This window comes from Homo sapiens, chromosome 4, assembly GCF_000001405.40.
Source record: "Homo sapiens chromosome 4, GRCh38.p14 Primary Assembly".
Classification (NCBI taxonomy): Eukaryota; Metazoa; Chordata; class Mammalia; order Primates; family Hominidae; genus Homo; species Homo sapiens.
Genome location: NC_000004.12, coordinates 16,742,865 through 16,770,334, shown reverse-complemented (window position 1 = coordinate 16,770,334; position 27,470 = coordinate 16,742,865). Strand labels below are relative to the sequence as shown.

At 40.7% G+C, this 27,470-nt stretch overlaps 1 protein-coding gene across 23 annotated transcripts in view, besides 1 other annotated feature; it reads left to right on the top strand.

The window, feature by feature from the left end:
* The window catches only part of LDB2 (LIM domain binding 2), a 397,105-nt gene that overhangs the window by 128,311 nt on the left and 241,324 nt on the right, over nucleotides 1-27,470 (top strand). For 21 of the 23 annotated variants that reach the window (XM_017008813.3, XM_017008821.3, XM_005248197.5 and 18 more), the window contains one exon: nucleotides 11,075-11,177. In XM_017008813.3, the coding sequence (XP_016864302.1) occupies nucleotides 11,075-11,177 (103 nt within the window). Of the gene's footprint in view, nucleotides 1-11,074; nucleotides 11,178-17,876; nucleotides 17,929-19,407; nucleotides 19,486-27,470 lie in introns of those variants that run through there. The other 2 variants (NR_130734.2, XM_047416390.1) reach the window with 2 other exon arrangements.
* Nucleotides 12,895-13,189: a silencer, noted in NCBI's record as "tiled region #15531; HepG2 Repressive non-DNase unmatched - State 21:Repr, and K562 Repressive non-DNase unmatched - State 24:Quies". NCBI's record gives its function as "represses a minimal TATA promoter and a strong SV40 promoter by Sharpr-MPRA in HepG2 and K562 cells {active_cell/tissue: HepG2 | K562}" and the evidence as "EXISTENCE:reporter gene assay evidence [ECO:0000049][PMID:27701403]".

The following is a 27,470-nucleotide window of genomic DNA, read 5'->3' as shown; positions in this document are numbered from 1 at the left end:
GTTTTAGTTAAATAAATATTTATTTGTTGAATTAAGTGATTTAAATAATTAAATAATGGAGCAATTATTTGTTGTCTTCCTGCCATGTGTTAGATACTGTGCATGTAAAACACACCAGACATGGGTAAGATGTTGCCCTCAAAAAGCTGACAGGAATCCCAACTTCAAAAAAAAATTATTTCATCACACTTGTAATAAGTCTGGTAGCAAAAAAAGCTCAATTGTTGGCACATACACACTGAGGCATTTGAGTCATTGCTTTTAGTTATTCTAACTAACATTTCTGTTTGGACTGCTCAGAATTAATTACTGATTTTGTGGATCAAAGCTGGAGATTCAAATACATGAATTTCTCAGGTCTTTGGGGGGAAAACCACTGATGTAACTTCTACTGAAGAGCTGTGTCTACTGGATACCAAGTCTTGTCTTTCTGCACATTTTAATATGCGACTTTCTCAAGGCAGCATCCACAGGCACTAGACAGGGAACTATAGTGAGCACCTTCTAAAAGGGAGGGCTTGATTTGTGAGTGAAACACCGAGATGCTCTCTCAAAACACACAATTTGCTATGTTGGTAGTATGCCGTTTTATAATTCAGTTAAAATAATAACTAATGCTTACAGTTAAATAAAATGCAATTTAGCTGAGAATGAGCAAATCACAGTTGAGAATTAGAGAAGAAAAATTCAGTCTCTAGAACATGAGTTGTTTAAGAAAAAAAAAAAAAAAATCCCATAGGGCTGGGCACAGTGGCTCACACCTGTAATCCCAGCACTTTGGGAGGCTGAGGCGGGTGGATCACCTGAGGTCAGGAGTTCGAGAGAAGCCTAGTCAACATGGTGAAACCCGTTTCTACTAAAAATACAAAAATTAGCTGGGCATGGTGGTGGGCTCCTGTAATCCCAGCTACTCGGGAGCCTGAGGCAGGAGAATCGCTTGAACCCAAGGGGCGGAGGTTGCAGTGAGCCGAGACTGTGCTACTGCACTCCAGCCTGGGCAACAAGAGGGAAACTCCATCTCAAAAAAAAATAAAAATAAAAAATAAAAAGAATCCCATAAAAATAAGTAAAAAAGGGGAGATTTAAAATTCCCTCTCTGCATCCTTTTCATGCTTGTGCAGCTACCAGCTGGCAAGGGCAAATGGTCTTACCTTATTACTTTTATTTGTGTGTCTTCAAGCCGAATTCCATAGGTGTGATGGAAATCCTTGCTTTGGGCTGCCTGTTCCAGAGAGAGACCCAAACGTTCAGTGCACTTGGCCTTGACTGGATGTTGAAACAACTAAGAAGACAGATATTTTAGAGATATTGTTTTGAATAAAGGAACATCATAATGGAGCAGTCATGAGTCTAAACTTGCTAGCCAGTAGCCAGAGTCCTTGGGGTTGAACTCTTTCGTGGCAATTTGATAGCTGTGTCATGTTAAGCAAATATCTAACTCCTCAGTGCCTCAGTTTTCTCATCTATAAGATGGGGTTAATAATGCTACTTATATTATAGGGTCATGGTGAGGTTTTAAGGGGTTTATAATGTGCAATGAGTTCAGAAGGGTGACTGGCATACAATAAGTGCCTTGTAACTGTTGACTATTATTATTAAGGGAGGCTGATTCAAAATAAACATGGTTCGAGATAGACCCTTGGTTTTGGAGAAAGGGTGGCTTGTGATTAAGGAATCAAAAACACAGTTACAGTCTTGGAAAACAAATGACCTGAGCTTCCTACAGTGTGAGAGGGACTCTAGGTAACAGAAAGGCAGAAGGCATGAGATTTGGGATTTTTTTTTTGTCTTCTTTCTTAATATCTGGATATGGCAGAAAAAGAAATGTAGGCAGAGCAAGTGTAGCAAGTGTGTTTCTGCCTCGGTCATTTCAGGCAAATTTATCCTTTCTTCAGTATCTTCTGAGAAAGGTTAGCTGATGCATGTAAAACAGGAGTGACTAAAATAGTAAGATACAAATTAATAGTGTTATTTAAATGTGTGTGTACAAGAGAGTAGGGTTATAAGATGAGACATTCTCATTTTTTTCTAGAACCACAAGATACTGAAGAAAGTCAATGCCCTCCCATCTCCCATCTTTCAGACCCCTTCAGAATGCTCTCCACTTTGACCTGTTTAAGTTTATTTTAATAAAAAAAAAACACATTTTCAAGGAATAGATGCTTTAAGTATGGTTCATTCTTTGGAGGGGGTGTATGTGTACCACATGACAAGTGGTTGCCATGGTAATTTCTCATTATTGTTGAATTGAAAAATAATTACTCTGGCAAAAATCCCACGTAACCTGTCAGTGCTTAAGTTAAAGATGCCGAGGGGCAGCCCTGGCACCGGGATCCTGTTTTTGGTGAAGAGGGATAGGGTTGGGAACAGGAGAGAATCTAGGATGGAAGCAAAATGCTTCTGTAGATTTTTAAACATAATTAAGACTCTCTTCTGCTATTTGACATGACTGTGTGTCTCATCCTGATATATGATTAGGCTGCTGGTGAAATTTGGGTTCACCTGTGAGATGGGACAAAAGGACTAAGGACTGTAATAGCACAAATGCATATAGGGGATTGTTTAGAATAAAGAAGCTTTGATGATATTTTTTCCTAATTAAAATATGGAAGAATTGTCAACAACCACTTCCCCTGTCTGTGTTCAGGCTGAGTTAATTTCATCTTTATTTACCTGGAGGCTGCTGTATGCTATTGTTACTTTCTAGCTTTGGGGAAAAGAATTCACTTTTTACTTATTAATATTCACTAAACACTCGCCACACACAGTTCAGATACTAAACAACAGCAAGAATTGGAAGTAGCTGTCTGTTGGGAAAACACGTGTCCCAGATCAGAAGCCCTGTGGCAGTGTGCAACAGAGCTCAATCTACACATGAGTTCGGGCATTTGGTACTCAGTCCTCCTGATCCATGAGTCATTGTGGAGTGGCATGGAAAACCTACGTTTGCTTTCTTTCCTATGCTTGTGTCAAGAAATAATCCTCCTTTTGGTTAATGAAGGCCTTAATATACACTCCTCTTTTAAAAGAATGATCGGCAAAGTTGGAGTATTATTAGTAGTGTTACTCCATTTTTGCATCTTTTTTGGACTTCTAGATATTCATCCTTCTCCCAGCAGAGCTAGTCTCTGTTTTTGTCATTAAGCTGCTCTTGCTACTAGAACCCACTTGGAAATATACTGCTTAACAGTACTCTTTGAATCTCTACCCATGCATCAATCAGACCAGATGCAGATGCTTTTAATATGAAAGTACAGGGACCTCCTAATGAAAGGACCAAAATATAGACAGGTACAAACCCTATGTCTAGGCATATCCACTTTAGGCATGTGCCTGAGAGAAATTCTTACATATAAACACAAAAGGAAACTACAGAGACATTTATGGCAGCATTGTTGGGATGACCAAAAAATTAGGAACTATCTGAGATTATTAGTAGCAAAATGTTTAAATAAAATGTATTACCGCATATCTATTCAGTGCATTAGTATGTAGCTTATATAAGGAAAGAGAGACCCCAATATATAAATTGGGGCCAAGCACGCTCATGCCTGTAATCCCAGCACTTTGGGAGGCCGAGGCAGGTGGATCACCTGAAGTCAGGAGTTCAGGACCAGCTTGACCAACATGGTGAAACCCTGTCTCTACTAAAAATACAAAAATTAGCTGGGCGTGGTGGTGGGCGCCTATAATCCCAGCTACTCGCGTGGCTGAGGCAGGAGAATCGCTTGAACACAGGAGGTGGAGGTTGCAGTGAGCCAAGATTGCGCCATTGCACTCCAGCCTCGGTGACAGAGCGAGATTCTGTCTCAAAAAAAAAAAAATATATACACACACACACACACACACACACACACACACACACATATATGTGTGTGTATATATATACACACACATACATACATTTATATATAGACATATATGTGTATATATATAAATGCACACATATATATGTGTATATATAAATTGGATAGGTCTTCAAACACAATGTTAAATTTAAACAAATCACAGTTAAGGAAGAAAACATAATGTATCCTATCATGTAAATAAAATATTAAAAACAAAATAGGACTGTATATGAGTGGAATCATGCATGTATATTAATATAAAAGATGGGCTAGGAAGATCCATATGGTTTTCATGAGACAGTTATTTATGGAGGTCTGAGAGAGGAGAGAGAAAAACAGAGTAGGATATGGTGACCCAGAACATTTATTTATATTTGTAACATTTAATTACTTTAGAAAAGGAAAATGCAATAATATTGCAATAATTGTTAATTCCGGGTAATGGGCCCATGAGTCTTCATCATATTCTCTTTTGTTCTCTATTTTTAAAATTAATAAAGTAAAATTTGTCTTGATTAATGACAGCCAGTCAAGTGCATTCATGTACTACCAGCAACCTTAACCAACATTTCACTGAGATGTATAATACTCCAAAGGTGGCTCAAAAGCGTGGCAGTGTAGGTGTGAGATAATTTATTTAAATTTCTGCCTCCATATGAACTCCTGACATGCATGCCTGGGGCATTCCATTATTGTGAGATGAGATAACAGTGATGTGACAGAGAGAAGACTTCTCTCGAACACTGTCTTGGCCCCTAGCCACTGAGGTTAGATTTTAAGATTCCTACATTTTTAGAGAAAGAATCTTACTCGCCGTGTGGGTAGGGCCTTATCATCTGTTTAGTCCATTTTTCTACTCCATTATTGGGTACTAATTTATAGGAGAATCCTGCTGAGGATGCATAGATACATAATGTCCATTCCCTATCCTTAAGTAACGTAGTCTGCTGGAGCATACTTTAGGAAAATGTGTATTACAAGGTGATGATTCCATGATAATTTCATATACGCTCTATTGGGATTATAGTTGTCAAGATTTCCTAGTACAGGAGACAGTGAAAGAGGGGTCCACAAACTGCATCTTGGCATTTGCTGGACATTGTAGGTCAAAAGAATGACATATGCAAAGGCAGGGAGGCACAAAGAGTTGAGAAGGAGCCCTTAACCCTGACACGTGAGCTGCTGGAGGTCCCTTGGCTCAACACATTGCTGGGAGGCCAACTCCAGGGTCCTGCATATGCTGGCTCCTTTCTGGTGTGGTAAGAATGTTTTTTCTCTGGATAGACTCTCTTTTAGCTTAGATGCACAAAATGTTGTATCTCTTATATCTGCCAGTCCCAGATGTGCGTGCCACCCAATACACCTGGGAACAAGATGTCAGACTTGTGGTTGTGTTTTAAGAGCGTGTGCTATACCATTTACTTGGAAGTCCCAAAAGGTTGATCTTTATCTTTTGGGCAAAGATGAGACTGGTCAGTCTCAATGCACCTCCTGGTTAATCTCCAAGTTAGTTTAACGTGTGATGATTATGTGTGTGGAGTAAGAGTGATCAGCTGCACCCTGCTTTGCCTCTAAACTTTAGCGGAAACTGGATTTAGTGAGCTGCTCTATGGGATCCTTCATCAAAACGGCTTATAGCTTAACTCACACAGCCTCCTGCTGGCCGTCTTGCTGAACTTGGCCACATTGCCAGGTCCAAAAGGAGAATGGGCCATTTTTGTGGTACTTCCGCATCATTTCTCCAATGATGTTGGCTCTAAGTTTACGGTCAGCAGGTGGAACTGCTAGCCTGTACATAAAGCTGCAGAATTTTAATTAGTATCTTTTCTTTCAAATGACCATGGTCTCTTTTTCTTCCTCACATGTGGCCAAGCTAGAGTCTGTGTTGCAGGGTCCATACCATTCTAGATGACTGACAATTAAACCTTGGAAAATGGAGGGAATGATTTTTTTTTTTTTTTGTAGTGATTGTCCATAACTCATAAGGTAGCTGTGTCACCAAGAACTGAGTGTCTACCAGTAGAGTTGTTAGATCTTCTGCCAGAGACTTCTATTTGGCTCAGCAGAGGTCTTAGCTGTATTTCAGCCACTCCCTAAACTCCTAATCTCTTTATTATCCACATTACTTCTACAAAATTGCCTAACTGATCCCAGGAACTACACCAGACAACAGAATGGAAGCAAGAAGTGTTCCAAAAGATTTATTATCAGGAAAACCATGTGAAGGTGGGAAAAAGGGTATGAACTCCGAAAGGTTGGAGGGGGAAATTTCCTCTAGTCAATGCTGACCTCTTCCTCTAACTCTTGTAAAGCATTTTTGGTCTTCAACCCAAAGTGGGAAATAACTTTTTAAGTAAAATTATTTACAAAAAAGCATGTATTGGAGTTAGGCAGACTTGCTACGTGAACTTTAGCTTCATCACTTTCTTGCTTTCTAACCTTTATTGAGTAGCTTACCTTTTTTGAATTTTAGATTCTCTATGAATATCTTAAGGGTTAAATGAGATAATGATAAATAATAATAGTTGACACATATTGAACAACTACTATATGCCGGGCAGTTTCTGTTTAGTCCTCACAGCACACCGAGATTATTATTCCCACTTACCCAACAAGCAAACAGACGCAAAGAAATTAGATGTGTTGACTGAGGTCATCCAGCTATTAAGAGGCAGAAATCATATGTGCAAGTCAGTATAACATAGAAGTTAAGGACATAAGTTCTCTATAAGGCTGCCTGCTCTGCCCCTTGGTAGCAATTAGGGTAGTTGTGAATATAAAATGGTTCAATACATGTACAGCACTTAGAAAATTCTGGATTACGATACTAACATTAACCCTGGGCCCTCAAACATGTGCTCTTTCCATAATAAGCTTCCTTCATATACAGCCAACACAAGAATGGCCTATACCCAACACTTAGTAATTTTTGTCTTAAATCTCTATTACTTTTATTCCTTTCCTAAATAAACATTTGTTCTGTCATAACTAAAGACTAATTCAAAAACTCTGTGTGTGTGTGTGTGTGTGTGTGTGTGTGTGTGTGTACGTGTTTACATATGGGGGGAGATTGAAAATTACAATTTAAATACACAGAATGTCATTTTTATGCGTTTAAAATTATTGACCAACAGACAAAGTAGGGTCCACAATCAAGTTCTCCGGACAACTTTGTAAAGTGATTTCCCGAGCTGAGTTTGTGATGCCACGATAAGAAATTTATTCCATCCATCTATCTATTAATGTGTTCTATCAGCCAAACAAAAATATTATCTTATCTACCTATTATATGCCTGGCACTATGAACTTAAAGGTTACATTTTTATTTCGAGGATGTTCTTTCAAGATTTGTGACCAAAACCAATTACGTGTGTGTGTGTGTGTGTGTGTGTGTGTGTGTGTGTGTGTGTGTGGTGTTACCTAATGTGCCCATTCTCCCAGCAGACCTCTTCTGAAATTTCCTGAGACGTTGATTCATCCCATGTTCCACTGAAGCTAGTTTGAATCATATGACATTTCTCATTCTTGGATCATTATGTCTCTTTCAACTTCTGCCAAAACTCACGTATGTATGTAGGCCCTGTGGAACCTGTAACACTGCTCATAGACATTCCTCGAACCTCATTGTAACTTGAGTACTTTCTTTTCTCCCGGTGACCTCAGATCAGCCAGCATTTCTATTGACTTTTTTGCCTTTCACTGGTTCATTTTCCAGCAGAAGTGTCAGAGACCAAGAGTTAGATTATCAGAAAATAGAGGATGATATGGTTTGGCTGTGTCCCCACCCAAATCTCATCTTGAGTTATAGTTCCCATAATCCCCATGTGTCATGGGAGGGACAAGGTGGAGATAATTGAATCATGGGGGTGGTTTCCCTTATCTTGTTCTCGTGATAGTGCGTTAGTTCTCACGAGATCTGATGGTTTTATAAGGGGTTTCCCCCTTCACTGGGCATTCATTCCTCTCCTCCCCTTCCACCATGATTGTAAATTTCCTGAGGCCTCCCCAGCCATGCTGAACTGTGAGTCAATTAAACCTCTTTCCTTTATAAATTACCCAGTCTTGGGTATATCTTCATAGCAGTGTGAGAATGAATTAATACAGAGGGGATCCCGTCACTGGGCCTCTGAATAATGAGCAAAGCAAATGAGAAGTAATACATTTTCATTCAGATTTTTAACAGTGTTATAGACAGATGCTGTTGCCAGGGAAAAGGGTTGCTAATGGTTGAAGTGATAGGGAAAAGTGCTGATTTATAAACAGACTATTTTATAAAGTTCATTTTTTTTTTGAGACCAGGTCTCACTCTGTCACCCAGACTGGAGTGCAGTGGGGTGATCTTGGCTCACTGCTACCTCTGCCTCACAGGTTCAAGTTATTCTCCTGCCTCAGTCTCCTGAGTAACTGGGATTACATGTGCCCACCACCACGCCTGGCTGGCCAATTTTTCTATTTTCTATTCCATTTAGTTTTCTATTTTCTATTCCACTGAGTTTTCTATTTTTAGCAGAGTGTGGGTTTCACCATGTTGGTCAGGCTGGTCTCGAACTCCTGACCCTCAGGTGATCTATCCACCTAGGCCTCCCAAAGTGCTGGGATTACAGGCATGAACCACCACATCTGGCCATAAAGTTCATTTTCAGTGCAGTTCTTTATAAAGTGGAATGCCTCCTGCCCTAGATATGATATTAAAGATGGTAGACAGAGGCAGGGAAAGGGCATTTTATTGATCTTCACTGTCTTTGGGGTGCTCTCCTGCAGATTTTATCTCCTGAAGATTTTATTGATCTGCACTCCCTTTGAGGAGCACTTTATACCTACTAATTTATTTAGTCCTCAGATCTGTGCTGCCAGATAGTAACTATTGTTGTTGTTATTGTTATCCTCAGGTTCTAAATAAGTAGACAGGCTGGGGAAGGTAGAATAAGTTGCTAAGTTCACAAAGCTGGGAGGGGGCAGTGTTACCTGCAGGACTGAATTCCGCCATGATGTGTTACCAACTGCTTTACTGTGAAACGCCAGGCAGTCTCCTGAGCGTGAGTCCTGGCTGCAGGTCTGCACAAGGCAAGGAGCTCAAAGAAGAAATCAACCTCAGACTAAATATTCCCTTTCAACTCTTTCTCCCCTCTTGCTGAATCCTAACCACAGCCTCTCAAAGACTGTCAGGGAAATGTAGCAGGTTGCTGTACAGAGCAAAGGATGGGTAGGTCGGGGGTGTCCAGTGGTCTGAGTTGAAATTCCATCTCTGACATTTATTTGCTGAGTGTACTGGAGCAAGTGACATTTACTGCCTAAGCTTTGGTTTCTGCAGTTGCAAAGTAGAGATAATATGAGCAGCTTCATTCATTCATTGAGCTGCTTTTATGAGTAATATCCTAGGCTAGACACTGTTCTGGGGGTTGGGAGATAAAGTAGCAAGCAAAACAAAGCCCCTGTGTACAAGAAGCTTATATTTGTATTGAAGAGAAAAAAAAAAAACCACACACACAGAAGAAGTGGATTCGTACTGTGGATTAAGTAGGAAAATACACATAAAGTCATTAGACTAGTGCTTGGCATGTGGTAAACACTCAATAAATGTTAACTGTGACTCTTTTTCCATCTGTGTAGTGATTTAAAGTCGAATAAACCAATGTATCCAGTCTTCCGAATAGGGTTTCTTTCCCTGGCAGATTCCTCCACTTCCAAGCCCACTGAGTTTTTTAAAAGCTCCACAAGCTTCCAGAGCATTGAGGACGTGTGCCACGGTCTCAGATGTGGAGTGAAGCTGCCTGTTTAGTTGCTCATGTGATTGTCTTCTGCTAGTGGGCTTTAAGCCCTTTGAGGGTAGGGACCAGTCTCTTATTCAGCTGTGCATTCTGAAGGCCTACACATAGTTAAGTGCCCAATACATATTTGTTTCTGAAAGGAGAAAAAGCAGAGTACTTTGTACGTGGATCCATGCATTGCTCTTCGGTGGTTTCCTATCTACCCTGTTTTACTGAGAAAGGGATTGGCTTTTGCTATGGTGATTGGAAGGAAGCCAAAGAGAGATGCAAAAATTCATTTGTCTGAGCTTCTTCTTTTCTGAAGGAGAGGACGGCATCAATCTTCCGTGGCTCCTTAATTATTCTTGCTGGGACTGAGGGTTCATTCCTAAGGCCTGCCAGTGACAACAACTTAATGTTGTCATAAGCAGAGCAACTTAATGGGAAGAAGAGAGGCTTGTGGTATCTCTGCCAGGACTCAGTAGTGGGACTATTACATGGGGAGTGGCAATTCCCCTTCTATCTCCCCTTCCATCTGACAGGCAGCTGGGATGCATCTTGTCTTCAACTTCTAATTCTCTGGAAAAACATGGTGCTTAAGAATTTTGGGATAAATCAGGTCCTATACTGAGAATTTGACTGGGATGTGATTCCTCCTGTAAATATGACACTCTGTATAACCTTCTTAATTCACTGTGAGAGGGGCCTTCTTCTCCCCTTGGAGATTAACAGTGATTCTGACTGCCTTAAACTGGGCCGCTTCCAAAGTGTTTTCTGCATGAGCAGGAGAAACATTCAACCCAAAACAAACAAACAGAATTCATATGGATGGCCTGCATTCTGCTGAACTGCTCTATTTTTAATACTCTTTTTAACAACAAGCTAGTGGTTGCCTGTCCTCTTAAAACAATCAAGAACAGTCCATATATATGTGACAATCGCTTGTGTGTGAACTTCTCTATCAATCTATCCATCCATGTATCTGTACCTGTATCTTTTATAGGGATATTTGTGTATAGTAGAGCTAGGAACATCTCTGTTGATTAAATTATGTATGAAAATTATGTTTAACCTGGTTGTAATATTGTGGTTTCTATTTATAAAAATGAACTCTTAAAAGAGCAGAGAGAGAGAAAGAGAAAAAAAAGTCAAGTGTATTTTACATTAAATGCAAACCCTTTTGTCAAAAAACATCACATTGTGTTTTATAGCACATTTATTAAATCTCCCCAAATATATCCTGGAGAATTAATTTTTATTCGATTGGTTTGAGCTCACTTATTGAATTGGAATTTGGTTCCTATTTGAGGCAATTAATTTGAAGAGTGACCGCCCACCTACCCTTTCCTAGAACACCTACACACATACGCGAAGTAATGAGCAAGGAGCAGCTGAGTTTTTCTTTCTCTTCCCTTTTCTCTTCCTCTTTGAGATATTTCCCACTTTCCCTTGTTAAATAAATGATCTGTCTCTTTGCAGGATAGTGACAACCTCTGGTGGGACGCCTTTGCCACTGAATTTTTTGAAGATGACGCCACATTAACCCTTTCATTTTGTTTGGAAGATGGACCAAAGCGATACAGTAAGAAAGAAGTTTATTTTTCTAATATTACCTCGTTTTGTGCCTGTAAGAAAACCGCAGGGGTCTTCAGAGAATAGCACAGAGCTGACAGCCTGACAATAATACCTCCACTCCTGAGAATGTTCTTGCTTCTCATCGAGTCATTGTCACTGGGTGGCAGCCCTAGTTGGCTCTGACAGGTTTCCTTCGAGGCTTAGAATGTTTGGGTATTTGCCTGTTTAGAGAGTGAGGCAAATATGAACCAAGTCACCCAGTGATGAGTGGGAGCGGAATGATGGACAATTTCCATGCATCTCTTTCTGCCACCCTCTTTTATCCTTGACGGTTCACACTTGACATCCAATGTTCTGCTTCTGGAGGTTCTTAAAAATAATAATTCCTACTGTCACTGTATCAGCCACATCCTTCTAATCCCCTCTTATCAATTATCTCAGGTATTTATTTGACAAGTGCTATCTTTTTTTGGGGTGTGGGGAGGCCACAGTTGCTTTGAACATACAGTTTGGGATTAGTGTTGACAGAATTATAGTTCCTTGTCTTTCAGGCGAGTGATAACTCTGTAAAGATCCTCAAATTACAGCGTGTGGCACCTTGGGTAACAGCTGATCTGTCCTGATTAGGTTCAGCCAACTTGTCAGAGATCAGATTTGCTAGTTGTGCTATCAGACCAGGAGGCATAGATGCATCAGCACAAAAGCAATTAATGTCCAGTTAGATCAGAGAGAGATGTGTTTTCAGAAATCAGTGTTGCACCTAGGAAAGAATCCATCAGAGGAAAAACATCCCCACTGTCACAAACACTGAAATGATGAGGGAACCAGCCATGGAATGATGAACCAGTCATGGTATGAATGAGTCAATCCAGAACATTTGAAAAATTTATAGGTAATAGGGTTCTTGATATGTATGATTGAAAGCTCTGATTGTTGCTAATCTATTTCAAAGCCACTAGAGAACAACAATTAAACAAAAAATTGGGGGAGGCTTTAGGCAACTTGGTGCTATTTGCATACTATTAGCAACTATACTAGTAGAATCAATTGCATAATTAACTGATTAATTATGCTAATATATGCACATGGTGATTCTGCAATAGTGTTAAACACGGGAGGAGCAGCCCGGAGTGGACTTGCTGCCCAACTGAAACTGGTTGCCAGGCGCATCTCTCATGTTTGTGTCTCACGGACTTTTAAGGACGTGGGACATTTCTAATCAATATTTTGGGCGAGAGGAGGGGCAGGTAGTATATCAGAAAATGGGCTGTTTAGAGCACCTTTATATTCAACAAAGTGACTCCTAGTGTAAACACTGATAAGCCTACTTCACAGGGGTCCTGCTGAGTTAACTTGCTCTCCGGTGTGTGGGTGCCCCCAAGCAGCCTCATGCCCTAAAGAGGTGTTTCAGAAGTCCCTGGGAGATAAATGAACTCAGCAGTCCGACAATTACTCCCTCCTCAAAAAGCTGCCTGATCAATGGCGTTTAATTTCTAACCAAGCAGTCATCCATCCTGAGCCACCTTATTTTTTTCTGAGGCATAAGCTCAGATAACTTCAAGTTATCATTGTTTTATGTTCTTGTGCTTTGTTGGTTCGGGAATCCATCAGGGACTGCTCAGGGAACTAGAATTACAGTATTAAAATATGTCCTAATACAACAGATTCTGGCTCTTCCCTCTGTCCATCCCACCCCAGCATCATTTGGGAGTGAATCACGATCATCGCCTGTTTAAGATCTTATCTCCATGAACAGGAGTAAATGCCTGACTACCAGCCATTGTTGCCCAGGCCTCTTTGTTTCTCCGAGCCAAAATATTTCCCGAGTGGAGAAGAGAAACAAAGATGATTGACGGTCTTGAGCCGAGTCTCATCAGCTGCCTTGCTGACAGCCCGGTGATGTGCACACGCTGCTGATGTGTGGGCTGGTGACAGCTGATTGACAGCCCAAGACTGAGAGACAAGGAAGATGAAGCTTGCTTAGAACGCCTGACGTGCACTGTTTATGCAGCGCTCTGAGCTCAGGCGCTGGTACCTTAACCCGTTCGAGGTCCAGGCATGCTGTGCCAGGCTGGGCAGACTCCTGGCTGTCCTGGGGCTAGAAGCTGCAGCTCTTCCTTCATGCTTCCAGGGAAGCTGAAAGCTTTGTTTTTCTGATGAGGAAAATAAGATTTGGCTGTTGCATTAGTATTTGTTAAAAAAAAAAAATCCCCAATCACACACATATGAAATAATAAGAGATATTTTAGCTGAGGGTTTTTTTTTTAGCCTTTACTAGAAAAAACTTTTCATTCTTCCTCCCCATCGCTGGTGTCTAGGGGGGTCCTTTTGGGTCTATAATACTTTATCTCTAAGTTGCCATAAATCCTGTAATAGGCGTCTGCTTATTTATTTATTGTATGTCATTCCTTATTAGAATGTTATTTCCATGTGGATGAGGGCTCTGTTTTGTTAATTGCTGAGTTCTCAGATTAATACAGGAACTCATACATAATAGGTAGCTCAATAAATATTTGTTGAATGAAGGAATAAATGAGGACACAAATGCATAGACATTTGTAGAAAAGTTTATATAATCAAGTAAAATGTTGGCAAAGCTATCCTTTACTGAGATCTTTGGATTTTTTTGAACAGGAAGAAATTAACTCACAGTGGTCCACTGGCGTACTCAAACAAACTCTGGGTTACGATCTGATCTTTTTTTCTTTTTTTGAGACAGAGTCTCACTCTGTCACCCAGGCTGGGGTGCAGTGGTGTGATCTCAGCTCACTGCAACCTCCACTTCTGGGTTCAAGTGATCCTCCTGACTTAGCCTCCCTACCGAGTAGCAGGGATTGCAGGTGTCCGCCACCACTCCCAGCTAATTTTTGCATTTTTAGTAGAGACAAGGTTTCACCATGTTGGCCAGGCTGGTCTCTAACTCCTGGCCCGAAGTGATCCACCAGCCCAGCCTCGGCCTCCCAAAGTGCTGGGATTACAGGCATGAGCCACCACATCTGGCTGTTCTGATAGATTTTAATAGGAACAAAAGTCCCGGCAGTATAATAATTGAAGAGATGATGATGTTCTGGGTGATATATTGTTCCTTTCATTCAGAAAGCAGAAAGCTCCTCAGTATTGACCCTCTTCCTCCACGTGCTCCATCTCTTAAGCCCTTCACTCCCCTGATGGGGGTGTGTCCGCCCAGGTGAGATATGATTGGGCAGGTGGAAGCTACTGATGTTTTCTTAGGGAACAGGTGGTAATTGGTGGGGAGAGCTTCAGGATGGGCCAGGTTATTAGACTATGTGAGAAATTGGCCTGTGCATCCCTAAGGCCACTTGCCTGCCCCCGCCCTGGACAACACCAGGAAGGTACTACTCTGGCAGCTGGAGAAGTGGGCAGTTCCATGGAGGAAGTTCTATCCTTTGGGTAAGGTGGACTCTAGGAAAGAAGAGTATCAGAGGTAGACAATTCCCTGGCAGCAGGTCAGTAGAATAAAGAACATTAGGGCTAAAAACGGTCCTTTCTAAAAATGGAAACTTGGTCCAGAGAGGTTAGGTGGGTGCCCCACAGGTGAGGCTGAGCCTCAGGTTTGCTGATTCCAAAGCCAGCTTGCTCTCTCTCTCTCTCTGTCTGTCTGTCTCTCTCTCTCTCACATACACACACACACACACACACACACACACACACACACACACACACACACACACCCTATTCCTACATCATGCCATAGCTAAAGGAAAATAAATGCTTTTATCAACACACACATTTCTGGTAACAGAAATAAGGGTCCCAAATAATTACTGTCCTTTATCTGAAACAGAAGACAAAGAAAGCCAGGGATCAGGTTCCTCAAAGCCCTCTGTGCACCTGCTCTGCAGTTCTAAGTCCAGCATAAAGTGTTGCTATTTCCTTCTCTGTCTTGGGTTAGGCTGATCACTTGCTATTAGTTTCAAGCACAATATTAATTTCCCTTTGCTCCTTTTAGGAATGTAGCAGAACCGTTCCCCACACTATTCTTCTGCCTTATGACAGTCACAACCACCATTTGAGTAACATGCTTCTCAGCTGACCTAGCCTGTGTCCAGGTCCAGGTCCACAATGGCCACATTCTTAGGAAATACGTGGTTCACATCTCATTCGGAAAATACTTCCTTCCTAGGAGAGATACGTGGAGAAGGATCTCCTGAGGCCCATCTCAGCAGGCAATGCAGGGCTGAGAGGCTGGATGGTGCAGGAGAAAGGGAACAGGGGTTCAATGCAAACATTCTTGGGCTTTAATCCATGCTTTGCTTGATAAACAGAGACTTCATTTTCTTATGTGCAAGTGAGTATAATACTACCATCACTGGGCTGGGTGCTGTGGCTAACGCCTGTAATCCCAGCACTTTAGGAGGCCAAGGCAGGTGAATCACCTGAGGTCAGGAGTCCAAGACCAGCCTGACCAATATGGTGAAACCCTGTCTCTATTAAAAATACAAAAATTGGCTGGGCGTGGTGGCATGCGTCTGTAGTCCCAGCCACTTGGGAGGCTGAGATAGGAGAATTACTTGAACCCAGGAGGCGGATGGAGGTTGCAGTGAACCAAGATCATGCCACTGCACTCCAGCCTGGGTGACAGAGCGAGACTCTGTCTCAATAAAAAAAAAAAAAAAAATACTGCCATCACTGGCTTGTGAAAATTAAATGAGATGTTATAATCAAAGAGCTGAGGACCATTTGAAGCATAGAATGATCAATACTTATTATCATTGATATGCATGGCCTTGGCCTCACCATAGCTTCTATGCATTGAAAAGGCTTCCCACTGGGCAGGACTTATCAAGTGAACAATGTGGACAGCCTGATGCCGAGGCTCCCTGGCCAGGTGGGAGTCCATATGACCTTTTTAATGGGCAGTTCCTGCTGAAATGCAGGACTGAGGAGATTAGGCTCTGCTCCCAACATTCAAGTGCAGAAACCCACTCTCGCTTCTAGTAAGTGGTGAGCAGGAGAAGGGAGTAGAGAGGGGAACAGTGATTAAGAATGTGTGGGGCAGAAGACTCCAGAACACTTGGTTAAACTATGTGTAAGTGGGCATGGCTTTGCAGGTTAGTGGGGAAATAGTGTAACTACTAAAACGCTACCTTGTTTCAGAGCACTTTCTGTTGGCCTGTTTCTTAGAGAAAAACCTAATTCTTTTCTAAGTGGCCTTACTTGAAACGTAAGGGTTTGATGGGATGGTGCATGTAAAGTTTTTGGCAGCGCTTTCATCCCTTTGAAAATGCTCCATAACACATTGATGGGCGTTCTTATTAGATTGGATTCCAATAAGCACATTGTTTTCTCTAGACTGAGATCTAGGACAATGCAGATAAAATTTTCATTAACCTTTAACTACTATTTGTGGTTTGGGGCTAGGGGTCCCAGTAATTCTCTATCACACATTTGTTATTTCATCTTGACCTTAGTACCCTGTCTGGAACGAGGATTTCCAGAGAGACCACACACATTCATGGCCACACTAGCCAAAAGCTATTCCATGGCTGCTGGAGGGACATTTCGCTCTCCAAAAAGAGAAAAGTTGTTTTAAGAAATGTCATCACTCTCTGTGCTTTTCTTTTCCTCAGTCACCAAGGCTCATTAGATAGTCTGAAGAACCACAAATCCACACCTCTGTGGAGCCATTTCTACACTTGCTGTTTCTCTTTTACATTGTCGTTCCTTACCTCCTTTATTTTTCCTGAAAGCTCCAATAGCTTTGCAGTATTGACTAAGTTCTTCAATTTTGTCTTGTAATATGTGTTTTTATGTGTTGTGTATTTGGACATGTTCCCCTAAGGTAGAGAAATTCTGCAAGGGGCCCAAGTAGGTTCACTATCTCCGGTTTCTGTTTCTCTACTGCTTTTTATTGGTTCGAACTCACCCAGCTATATTTGTACTGTGCTTGCTATATACATGATTTAAAACATGTTTCTGGGAAAATCACTCCTTGGTAATATGCATAAGGCATTTTGACACCACACTTAATAACTACTATGGCAGGAATGTGGCCACTTTAAAAAGTTACATGCAAAGAATGTGCTCTGCAGCACATGGGGAATGGGATTTCAAGTGCAAGAATTTAAGACCCGTGTGTGTTTTTTCTAGGAATAATGCCTTTGTGGTGTCCACCTGAAACCTAGAAAGGCACAGGTTCCTCTGGCCACTGCTTAAAGCTCTTGAGCCTTCTCAGAAGGCATGGCCAGCTGGCCCTGCAGACTTGGTCTTCCATAAAGTAATTTTGCTTCCCTAAACATTCCTCCTTCTTTTTTTTTTTTTCCATCCATTGAGACAGAGATAACATTCACGGATTTTGGATCCACGCAGATTCATTTTGAGTCTTTGCTCCTCCATAACTGCCAGATGTTAGGCATGTGAGATGACATTAGACATGTTGCTTAAACTACCTTAACCCCAGTTTCTTCATCTGTAACATCTGGGTAACAATAATGCCAACATTTTAGGGTTAAATGAGATGCACCTGTAACTTTAGCTTAGTGCCACTCTTGAAAAGCACAGAGTAAATAAATATTTACTGCATGAATTAATGAATGGACGAATGACAGAATAAGTGAGTGAGTTAAACCTATGAGACAACAGCCACTTCAAATTACCATGGAGTTCCCATTATTTATTTGGCACATAGTGGGAAGAACTCTGGTTTTGGGCAGAGCCAAAACAGACTTGTCTTCTTTCTATACAGGAACCAAGAATTTAAGACCAATTGGGGAAAAAATGAATATTAATGGAAAATGGTGAGTTAAACAAACAAGTTCCAAACAATTACAATTACCACATCTGTCCAACAGAGGGTGAGATTTTCATCCCCCATTTTGCTCAGAGAGCAAGGAACTACTAAACATTTATCAAGTGCTGGTAATTTATTTGGGCAACTTATATGTAAAGAGTGGGCTCTGTATCTTGTTCACTGAGGACCAGAGGAAAGGAAATTGATTTTGATTGCATTCAAAAATTTATTTTCAAGAAAAGAATACACTTCCTCAGAGTAGTCCTTCATGTTTAATTATGGGAATGGATTCTTGCCTCTGACTGTGGCATCTTGGTTGCTTAAAAACATAAATGTCGTTGTCTCAGATGACCCTGGACCATGCATTTATTCGCATGGGGTTCCATTAAATGGTTTCCAGATGGCTCTAGCACCCGATGTTGTGATTTTATTTTATTTTTATTTTAAAGATGAGGTCTCACTCTGTCATCCAAACTGGAGTGCAGTGGGAACTGATATTGTGATTAATGAGTGTCCATTTCAGTAGCAGTCTTCATTAGGCTGGTGAGATTTGTAGCAAATTCAGTTAGAAGTAGAGCAGATTGTCATTCGAAGTTGATTTGTTCCTGCACTCATTCATGGATTCATTCTTTCAGAACTCACTGAACTCTTGCTGTTTGTCAGACATTGCCTTCCTAGGCCAGACAGTTCTTGGGAGAAAGACAGTTCATCACAAATTTTTAAATTTACTTTTGATTTGATTTTATTTAAAACTCTTACCTTAAATTAGCATAATTGCCTAAGTTGCTCAGAAAGAGAATATTCTTGTGACATTAATGGAAAATCTAGGACTAGTCATAAAAATACTTGAGAGAAAGCCCGCAATTGATAGATGAACTGACAGATTTCTGAAAGAGAAAAAGGAGACCCATCTCTTCCCATTTGTGGTTTCAAATTGATAGTATCAGAAGTTGCAAATTGGCCATAACAGTGGCTTGAACAGACATTCCATTCTCTAATGTCTGGTAAATACCACACTAATGATCGCATGAGATAATGGACAGAAAAGTGCTTTGAATGAATTTAAAGTGCGGTACAAGTTGAAGGTATAATTATTATCATATTTATAATTAACGTTTCAGATATGGTATGTTTTTATTATCCCCTAATATGTTATAAGTCAAGCTGTTATGAAATCTGAGGTGGTTGTTAGCTCTTCTCTTAGGGGGTTACAATTGTCAAACGTACAGGCTTAAATGCAAGTCATATCTATGACTGCCCTCACGAGCTTGTTCTGGAGGTCTGAATGAGGTACTAACCAGAAAATGGACATTATGTGCTCTTTGCCTGACTCTGTGTGACTATGTTATCTATGGAGTCCTGGCACGTGCATTTCCTGACTTTCGGTTTTAGGGAGTATATTGCCTATGGTTTCCAAACTGAAACAACACTACCCCATAGTGGGTAAAACAAAGTGTGTCAAATCTTTTCATTGTCACAATGACAGGTGTTGCTGCCAGAATTTATTGTTTGGGGACTGGAGAAGAGAACTGTTCTACACAATAAAAAATTATTGAGAAACACATTATCTGACTCTTCTTACCTCCAACTTATTATCTTTTTGAAGTTAGGGTTGCCAGATAAAATGTAAGTATACAAATGCAATACTTGAGACATCATACTTCTACTACAACATTATTTGATATTTATCTGAAACTCAAGTTTAACTGAGCATCCTGTGTTTTCTTTGTTAAATATGGCATCCCTACTTCAAGGACCCCAGTTCATGTTCAAATGTGAAATCTTGACAATTCCAGAGCAGCTACAATGTGGTGTGAGCATGACCCATGATACAAAAAAGACTAAGAGATCTACCTGGACTTCTTATTCATAAGTCTTGCTTCTGTTTATTTCCAGACACTGTACTCATGAGCCCCAGTTAAAGAAAGAAATGCCCCAGCAGAGGTTGGGAGTGAGGATGCAGGTCAAAGTCTGCCTGAATTTAAGTCCAAAGTCTGCATTGCAGGCCTTCTACCGTTGACTGTGCCAGGCATCTGGGCAGGTGTTGAGCACATGCATAGGAGTGTGATATATATGGCTTGCCCAAGGGAACTTGCAGTATAACAAGGGAGACAGACCCATACACGATGAACTCTAATGCAATAGCATCCACCCTGTAAGAGTAGTGCAAGCAAAGTTCTGTGGTGCACTAGAGACCTAATGTACAGCATAATGACTATAGTCAATAATACTGTATTATATACCAGGAATTTTCTAAGAGATGATTTCAGGTGCTCTCACAACAATGAAAAATTGTAGAAGGATATGGCTATATTAGTTTGCTTAATTGTGGTAATAATTTCACCAAGTATATGTATATCAAAACATATTGTATATCTTAAATACATAGAATTTTTATGACAAAAATAGAATTAAAAAATATAAAAAGTACAACGAGGCATGGAGAAGCGGGTGTTGATGAAGTCTGCTCTTAATGGAAAAAGATTGAGCCTGGGAAAGACTTCTTTCTAACCTTCTAAAAGCCTTAGTTCTTAAACTCATGAGAGAAAACGCTCTACCACAATGTCCTTCAAATACAAAGCTTTCAATAGATATTTGTAACTTGAACAGTTGATGCAATGCTGGTAAATAGCACAAATGTGACCCATGATGTCTGAATATCTAGCCCACAGGCACATTATTAAACCTACAGTTTTTCCCATATTTTAATAAGTTTCCACCATCACAATCTCAAGTGACTGCAGCCTGTTTTGTATTATAGAGCAATCTAGAAATTTGTCCACAAAAGAACAAGGACTTGAGACTCATATATATATATATATATTTTTTTTTATTTTTTTATTTTTTTTTTTTTTGAGATGGAGTCTTGCTCTGTCGCTCAGGCTGGAATGCAGTGGTGTGATCTCGGCTCCACTGCAACCTCCACCTCCCAGGTTCAAGCAATTCTCCTGCCTCAGCCTCCCGAGTAGCTGGGACTATAGGCGCTCACAACCACACCCGGCTAATTTTTGTATTTTTAGTAGAGACGAGGTTTCACCACATTGGCGAGACTGGTCTCGAACTCCTGACCTTGTGGTCCACCCACCTCGGCCTCCCAAAGTATGAGCCACCACACCCCGCCGAGACTCATATTTTAAACTTCAAACTAAAATTATGCCTACCCAACCTACAATGCTAAGACTGATTTTTTGTCTTTGGTGCTTTGGACCATGAGATTGCTAGAGTATTTCACCACATAGTCTCAAAACTTCCTAGGAAATCCAATTATAGCATCAAATTTTACAGAATAAGTAATTCTCAGCAATGGTTAACTGGGTACTTGAATCTTATTGAATGCATCTTACTGGGTATAATTTCAGTGGAAACACCTATTTATTTATTTAACCTTCCTCAATGACTTCCCATGTGTTACCTTTCTGTGCCCTGGGGATAAGAAGATGAATGAACAAAATCTCTTGCTTTGGAGGAGCTAAAGATCCAGCGAGCTTTTGTTTCAAAGACTTGATTATTAGCAGAGCTTAGCCATGTTTTTTCATGTAGATACCCTCTGCCTCTGTTTATAAATCTGTTCCTAATAATGCTTCACACTCTATTTTTACACATTATTTCCAAACACTACATTATTACTATTTTTTAAACGTAAAGCATTTGGAAAAATCAGTGTTCAGCTGAGATGTGTGCAGTATTTCTTTTAGATAATAATGGCTGGTGATATTTTGGTTTAGTGGAGTGAGCCAAATCCAGGTATCCTCCCCTACAATCCAATGTGTAGCTTAATCTTCATATTCATGTCATGTTTTAGAACTGTGAACACACCTTATTTATGTAGATGAGGTAAAATAAAGCATTTGTTGAAGTCAGGTTAAATTAGCACTCTTCTACGACTGTATTAAGCAATGTTCAGATGGATTTCATTAAGAATGTAGAGGCTCCATGACAAAATTACCCATCAGGGTATGTTTTATTTATTGTTTAATCAAGGTAATCATATTGGAGTATTTGAATTTAGGAGCTTACAGAACTGGGTGCCTTCATGTATTTTGCTTTTATTATTCATTCCAGAAGAATCAGCTTCACAAACCATTATGCCATACTTGTTTATTTTTATGAAGTTGTCCTTTCCCAATTGGTATTCTCCTTACTACTCTTTGATGGGAACTTCCCTGTCACAATATGTATTTTTGGCTTTTCAACAAGTCAGGAGAACTTGAACTTGACAATGATGACACTAATTATCATTCTGAAGATCTGAAAAAGGAGGACATAAGGTCACCTGGGAGCCTGGTGATAAAGCCCCTCCCATTTAATGAAGCACAGCACCATTACTCCCTTACACATCAAAATTTGTTCTCCATTTTATTGAAAGCAATATTACATTATTTTTACAAACTTTCCTTAAAAAATACATTATGTCTGACTTATTCCTGCCTTTGAATAATCTTATTTGCAGTTTGATTGTTTGTCTTTTTTTACTTTGAAAAATGCATCATTTGCTATGTCAGGATGAGGTTGTTACACTGAAAACAATGAAAAAACAAGAGTTCTTTCAAAATCTAATTATGAGCTTGTCCCAGTCAGTAATGCTTGGGAGGGTATTTCCTCATAGACACACATGGTGTCTCCATGTTACTCTCATATTCCGATATTCCAGATAAAAATCAACCACCTGAGATGGTTCTCAGGTAAAGGATAATTATTTGTGTCTGTGTTTTCAGAATTAATTCAAGCTTTGAAAAAAAGATTAAAGTTAGCTAGCTGAGAGATGTATTTGTCCGTGTAAAATTTCCTCTGGAAATGTTTGTCATGTCATATATGAGAAGTACTAGCATCTGGTAAACTCAACTATACTTATTCAGTGTTCACTTGAGGCATTTAGAAAGTCCAACTTTCAAGCTTTAAAACAATTAATAATAATTCTCTTTTTCAAATTTGCCTGCATAAAATAACTTAATTCTCATACTTATTTGCTTTCCTTCAATAGGACCATAAAAGAAATGATAAACGGTGTTTCACTGATTATGTAAATAAACCGCTAATTATATCCTTAATAGTTCTCCACACTTCTAGACACTGTACTGGAATGTATTTCTTATAAAATGCTTTAGTACTTGGAGCTCTATTATTTTTTTAAAAGATGGGCCCAAAATCAGTAATTATGAGAGTTATTATTCAGGTTCACAGCAGTGCAGCAGCTATTTTTCACTTGATAATTACCTTGTTAAACTAATGTCAGACCAGCGCCATGCCTTATTTAAGAAAATGGTCCACCAGCCCCGAGTAAGCAGGCCCAGCTGTGGAAATATTAAAAGATTTATTAAATTCAGGCTCGTCTTCAGCATTGTCTCATCGACATTAGTTATGGGACTTGTAAGAAGTTTTCTATTTCTCATTAGATGTTTGCAGCATCATTCTTGAGGTCCTGCTGCAGCTTCCGACAGCTGGTGTTTCCATTGTGTTCCTTCTATTTCTAGTTCTGGGCTTTGTGGCCAACCAGGGCACCTTTTAATTGGCACAATCTTCATTCAGAACCCTGAGGAGAAGATGACCCATTCCCCGGAAATTAGGAATGCATATGATTACATTTCACTTCCTATTTTCCCATTTTTTTAATTAGTTATTTATTTATTGAGACCGAGCCTCACTCTGTTGCCCAGCTTGGCATGCAGTGGCACAATCTAGACTCACTGCAACCTCCGCCTCCTGGGTTCAAGTGATTCTCCTGCCTCAGCCTCCTGAGTAGCCAGGACTACAGGCGCGTGCCACCATGCCCAGCTAATTTTTGTATGTTTAGTAGAGACGGGGTTTCACCATGTTGGCCAGGCTGATCTCAAACTCCTGACATCCAGTGAGTGGGCCGCCTTGGCCTCCCAAAGTGCTGGGATTACAGGCATGATCCACTGCACCCAGCCACCTATTTTCCCATTTTTAAAGTTGCAGTTTCATTTATTACCTTTTTCCCTTTGGAAAAGAAAAAAAAATCAAGACTGTCCAATATTAGCCGTGGCTTTGGCTAAAAAGAGACAGATACAGATTTGAATTTTTAGTCCCACGTAAGTACTTCTTGCTGTGATATTATAATTTGCCAAAAAAATGGAGTCAGACACGTAGTTGGTTCTTGGTGTTTTTCAAATATGTTCAATAATGACTTACTGGATTAGTTAATAAGTTAAAATGATAAACATTCTAATAATGCTTTACAGTTTATGAAATGCTTTCATAAATCAGGACCATCTGTAAGCTTACTGAGGGTGGGGACTGTGTGTCATTCACCTTTGTAGTCACTGTGCCTGTTTCTGTGATACAGAAAGGCCCATGGTCAATATTTGCTGAGTAGTACTTGGTGACCATGCGTCATTCCATCATCAGTACAAACCTGGGAGCAGGTGTCAGATTGATCATTAGTGTTGAAGAGACGACAAAAGCGAGGCCTTCAAAGATGCAGAATTCAACTCTTCTGCCATATAGGCCCATACTGTGTACCCTTTACCATCCCACTATTCAGAACTTTTTTTTTTTTTTCAACAATAGAGAATCTTTAAACGTGACCTGTTTGGATTAAAAAAAAATTCTAATGTCTTACTCTGGATCCTGGACACTTACCTCCTTCTCTCCTCATTTGCTCCTCCCAGAAAGAGCACAGGTTAAGCATAATTAGTTCTTCGTGGCAAATGTGTACCTGCAGCCTGTTTTTCTTATTGTAGTTAAGTGTGGATTGCTGAAATCCCTTCGACATTGCTGCTATGAAGCTGACATTTATAAATTTTCTTTCTTAACGCAGTATGGGGTCCTCCATATGTCTTCCACAATAACTCTCTGTGTTTTCAGGGAATCTAAAGATTTATTTCCTTCCAAGTCCTTGTTGCTGGCATTTTCTCCAAGCCTCCAAAACTGCCAGGAGATGAACTTCAATTTAGAGGAACTGTTACATTTGTCATTGTGAATTTGCTAAACTTTGGATAAATTTGAAGATTTATGCTTATTCGCAAATGGGCCCTGAGAATATCTTTGGAGCTCAGAAAGTTCACGCTTGACTTCCTTTTCACTGTTCTAAGTAAACGAGTTCTTAAATCCCCGCAGTCTCCCCGCCTGGGCTCTGGGTCTCTGCCATTGCCTCAGCCTGCATTCATTTGGACCAACAGGAACTGAGATGTGACTTACCTCTGAGGTGTAGAGGAGGAGGGCCTTCTGCCTGCCTTGTTCTGTGGAAATCACATACTCAGTCTGTATTTCCAGGATGACCCAATTAGAGAATGCCTTACATAACCCCTCACTTTAAAGGCAAATAGCCCAGGCTTGTGAGTCAGACAAGCTTGGCTTCAAATCACGACCCTGTCCTGCAGTTACCATATGACCTCGGATGTTACACCTAATTTCTCTGAGTCTCACCATTTTGATCTGTATAATGAAAATAGTGTCTATCTGACACTGTTACTATAGTATTTGTGAGTAACATACATACAATCCCTGATACACAGGAGTTTTTCAATAAGTAATAGCTATTATAATCTGTATTTATATGTACAGCTAACAAACCAAAAAATTGACTTGGCTTTGACTTGCTCAAGGCAACCCAGCTAGCTGGTAATAAAGTCAGGATTCAAATTAATGTTTCCTAATTCTTCATAAAACACGTGACTTGGCTGGGCGCGGTGTCTCAGGCCTGTAATCCCAGCCCTTTGGGAGGCCGAGGCGGGCAGATCACGAGGTTAGGAGATCGAGACCATCCTGGCTAACACGGTGAAACCCCGTCTCTATTAAAAATACAAAAAAAATTAGCTGGGCATGGTGGCGGGCACCTGTAGTCCCAGCTACTTGGGAGGCTGAGGCAGGAGAATAGTGTGAACCCAGGAGGCGGAGCTTGCAGTCAGCTGAGATCAAGCCACTGCACTCCAGCCTGGGCAACAGAGTGAGACTCCGTCTCAAAACAAAAAACAAGCAAAAAAAAATCACGTGACTTGGCCAGGTGCAGTGGCTCACACCTGTAATCCCAGAACTTTGGGAGGCAGAGATGAGTGGATCACTTGAGGTCAGGAGTTCAAGACCAGCCTGGTCAACATGGTGAAACCCTGTTTCCACTAAAAATACAAAAATTAGCTGGGCATGATGGCGGGTGCCTGTAATCCCAATTACTCGGGAGGCTGAGGCACGAGAATCACTTGAACCCAGGAGGCAGAGGTTGCAGTGAGCTGAGATCCAGCCACTGCACTCCAGCCTGGGTGACAGAGTGAGACTGTGTCTAAAACAAACAAACAAACAAACAAACAAACCACATGAGTCTATTTATTAGTAACTTGCTAAAGTTTCCATACTCTCATTTTCATTTTAAACAGTCTAGAAGAAACCTAGTTTACAAGGACCACATATCATATTTTGTTCTTTGAATCATCTTCAAAATATTTTAGAGCCAAGTATAGGGGGAAGTGTCATTAACTGCCTTGATTTTAGTGATGTGTAAAAAATTGGAGACAATCTATTTGATAGGTATTTTAGTTTTCGATTGCAGAATATCAAATTACCAAAAACTTAGTGAATCGAAATGACACACATGTATTATCTCACAGTTTACCTGCATCAGGAGTCCAGGCTAGGTTGCTGGGTGCTCTGCCTAGGGTCTCACAAGGCAGAAACTGAGGTGTCATTTGGGGCTGAGGCTTGTTGGCAGAATTTGTTTTTTTGCAGTGGTACGATGGAGGTTTCTGGGTTTTTTTTTCTGGCTATTAACTGGGGGCTGCTTTCATCCCTGGAGGTCTTCTACTGCTCCCTGGCATGGGGGTCCCCTCTACAACAAGCAGCTTGTCTTTTTAAGGCAGGAGAATCCCTCTCCCTTCAACTCTCCAACGTTAAGTGCTTGCCTCATTATATCAGACCTGCCCAGGAAAATCTCTCTTTTCATGAACCCAAAGTCATCTGATTAGGGACTTTAATTGCAGCTGTAAAATGAGTCATGGGATAATATCCCATCATAGTCACAAGAGCCACTCATGATCAAGGAGAGGGATTATGCAGGGTGCATATACCAGGGGTGGGAATCTTGGAGGCCACTCAGAATTCTTTCTACCACCAGGGCATGAGGCAGATACATAATTATATTATAATATGAGACATCCTGACAAGCATATTTTTTGAGATGAAGTCTCACTCTATCACCCAGGCTAGAGTGCAGTGGTGCGATCCCGGCTCACTGCAAACTCCGCCTCCTGGGTTCAAGCAATTCTCATGCCTCAGCCTCCTGAGTAGCTGGGATTACAGGCTTGCATCACCATGCCTGGCTAATTTTTGTATTTTAGTAGAGATGGGGGTTTCACCATGTTGGCCAGGCTGGTCTCGAACTCCTGACCTCAAGTGATCCACCCACCTTGTGCTCCCAAAGTGCTGGGATTACAGGTGTGAGCCACCACACCTGGCCCTGACAAGCATCTTCAAACAAGGGAAAACTGCCCTGTGAAGCCAGAAAACAGAAGTCATTTCCTGCTGTAGGGGTTGGGAGGCATGGCAGAGGCAATGAGTATGATTTGAGTAGGCAGAAATAGAGGCGAGGGGCAGTGAGGT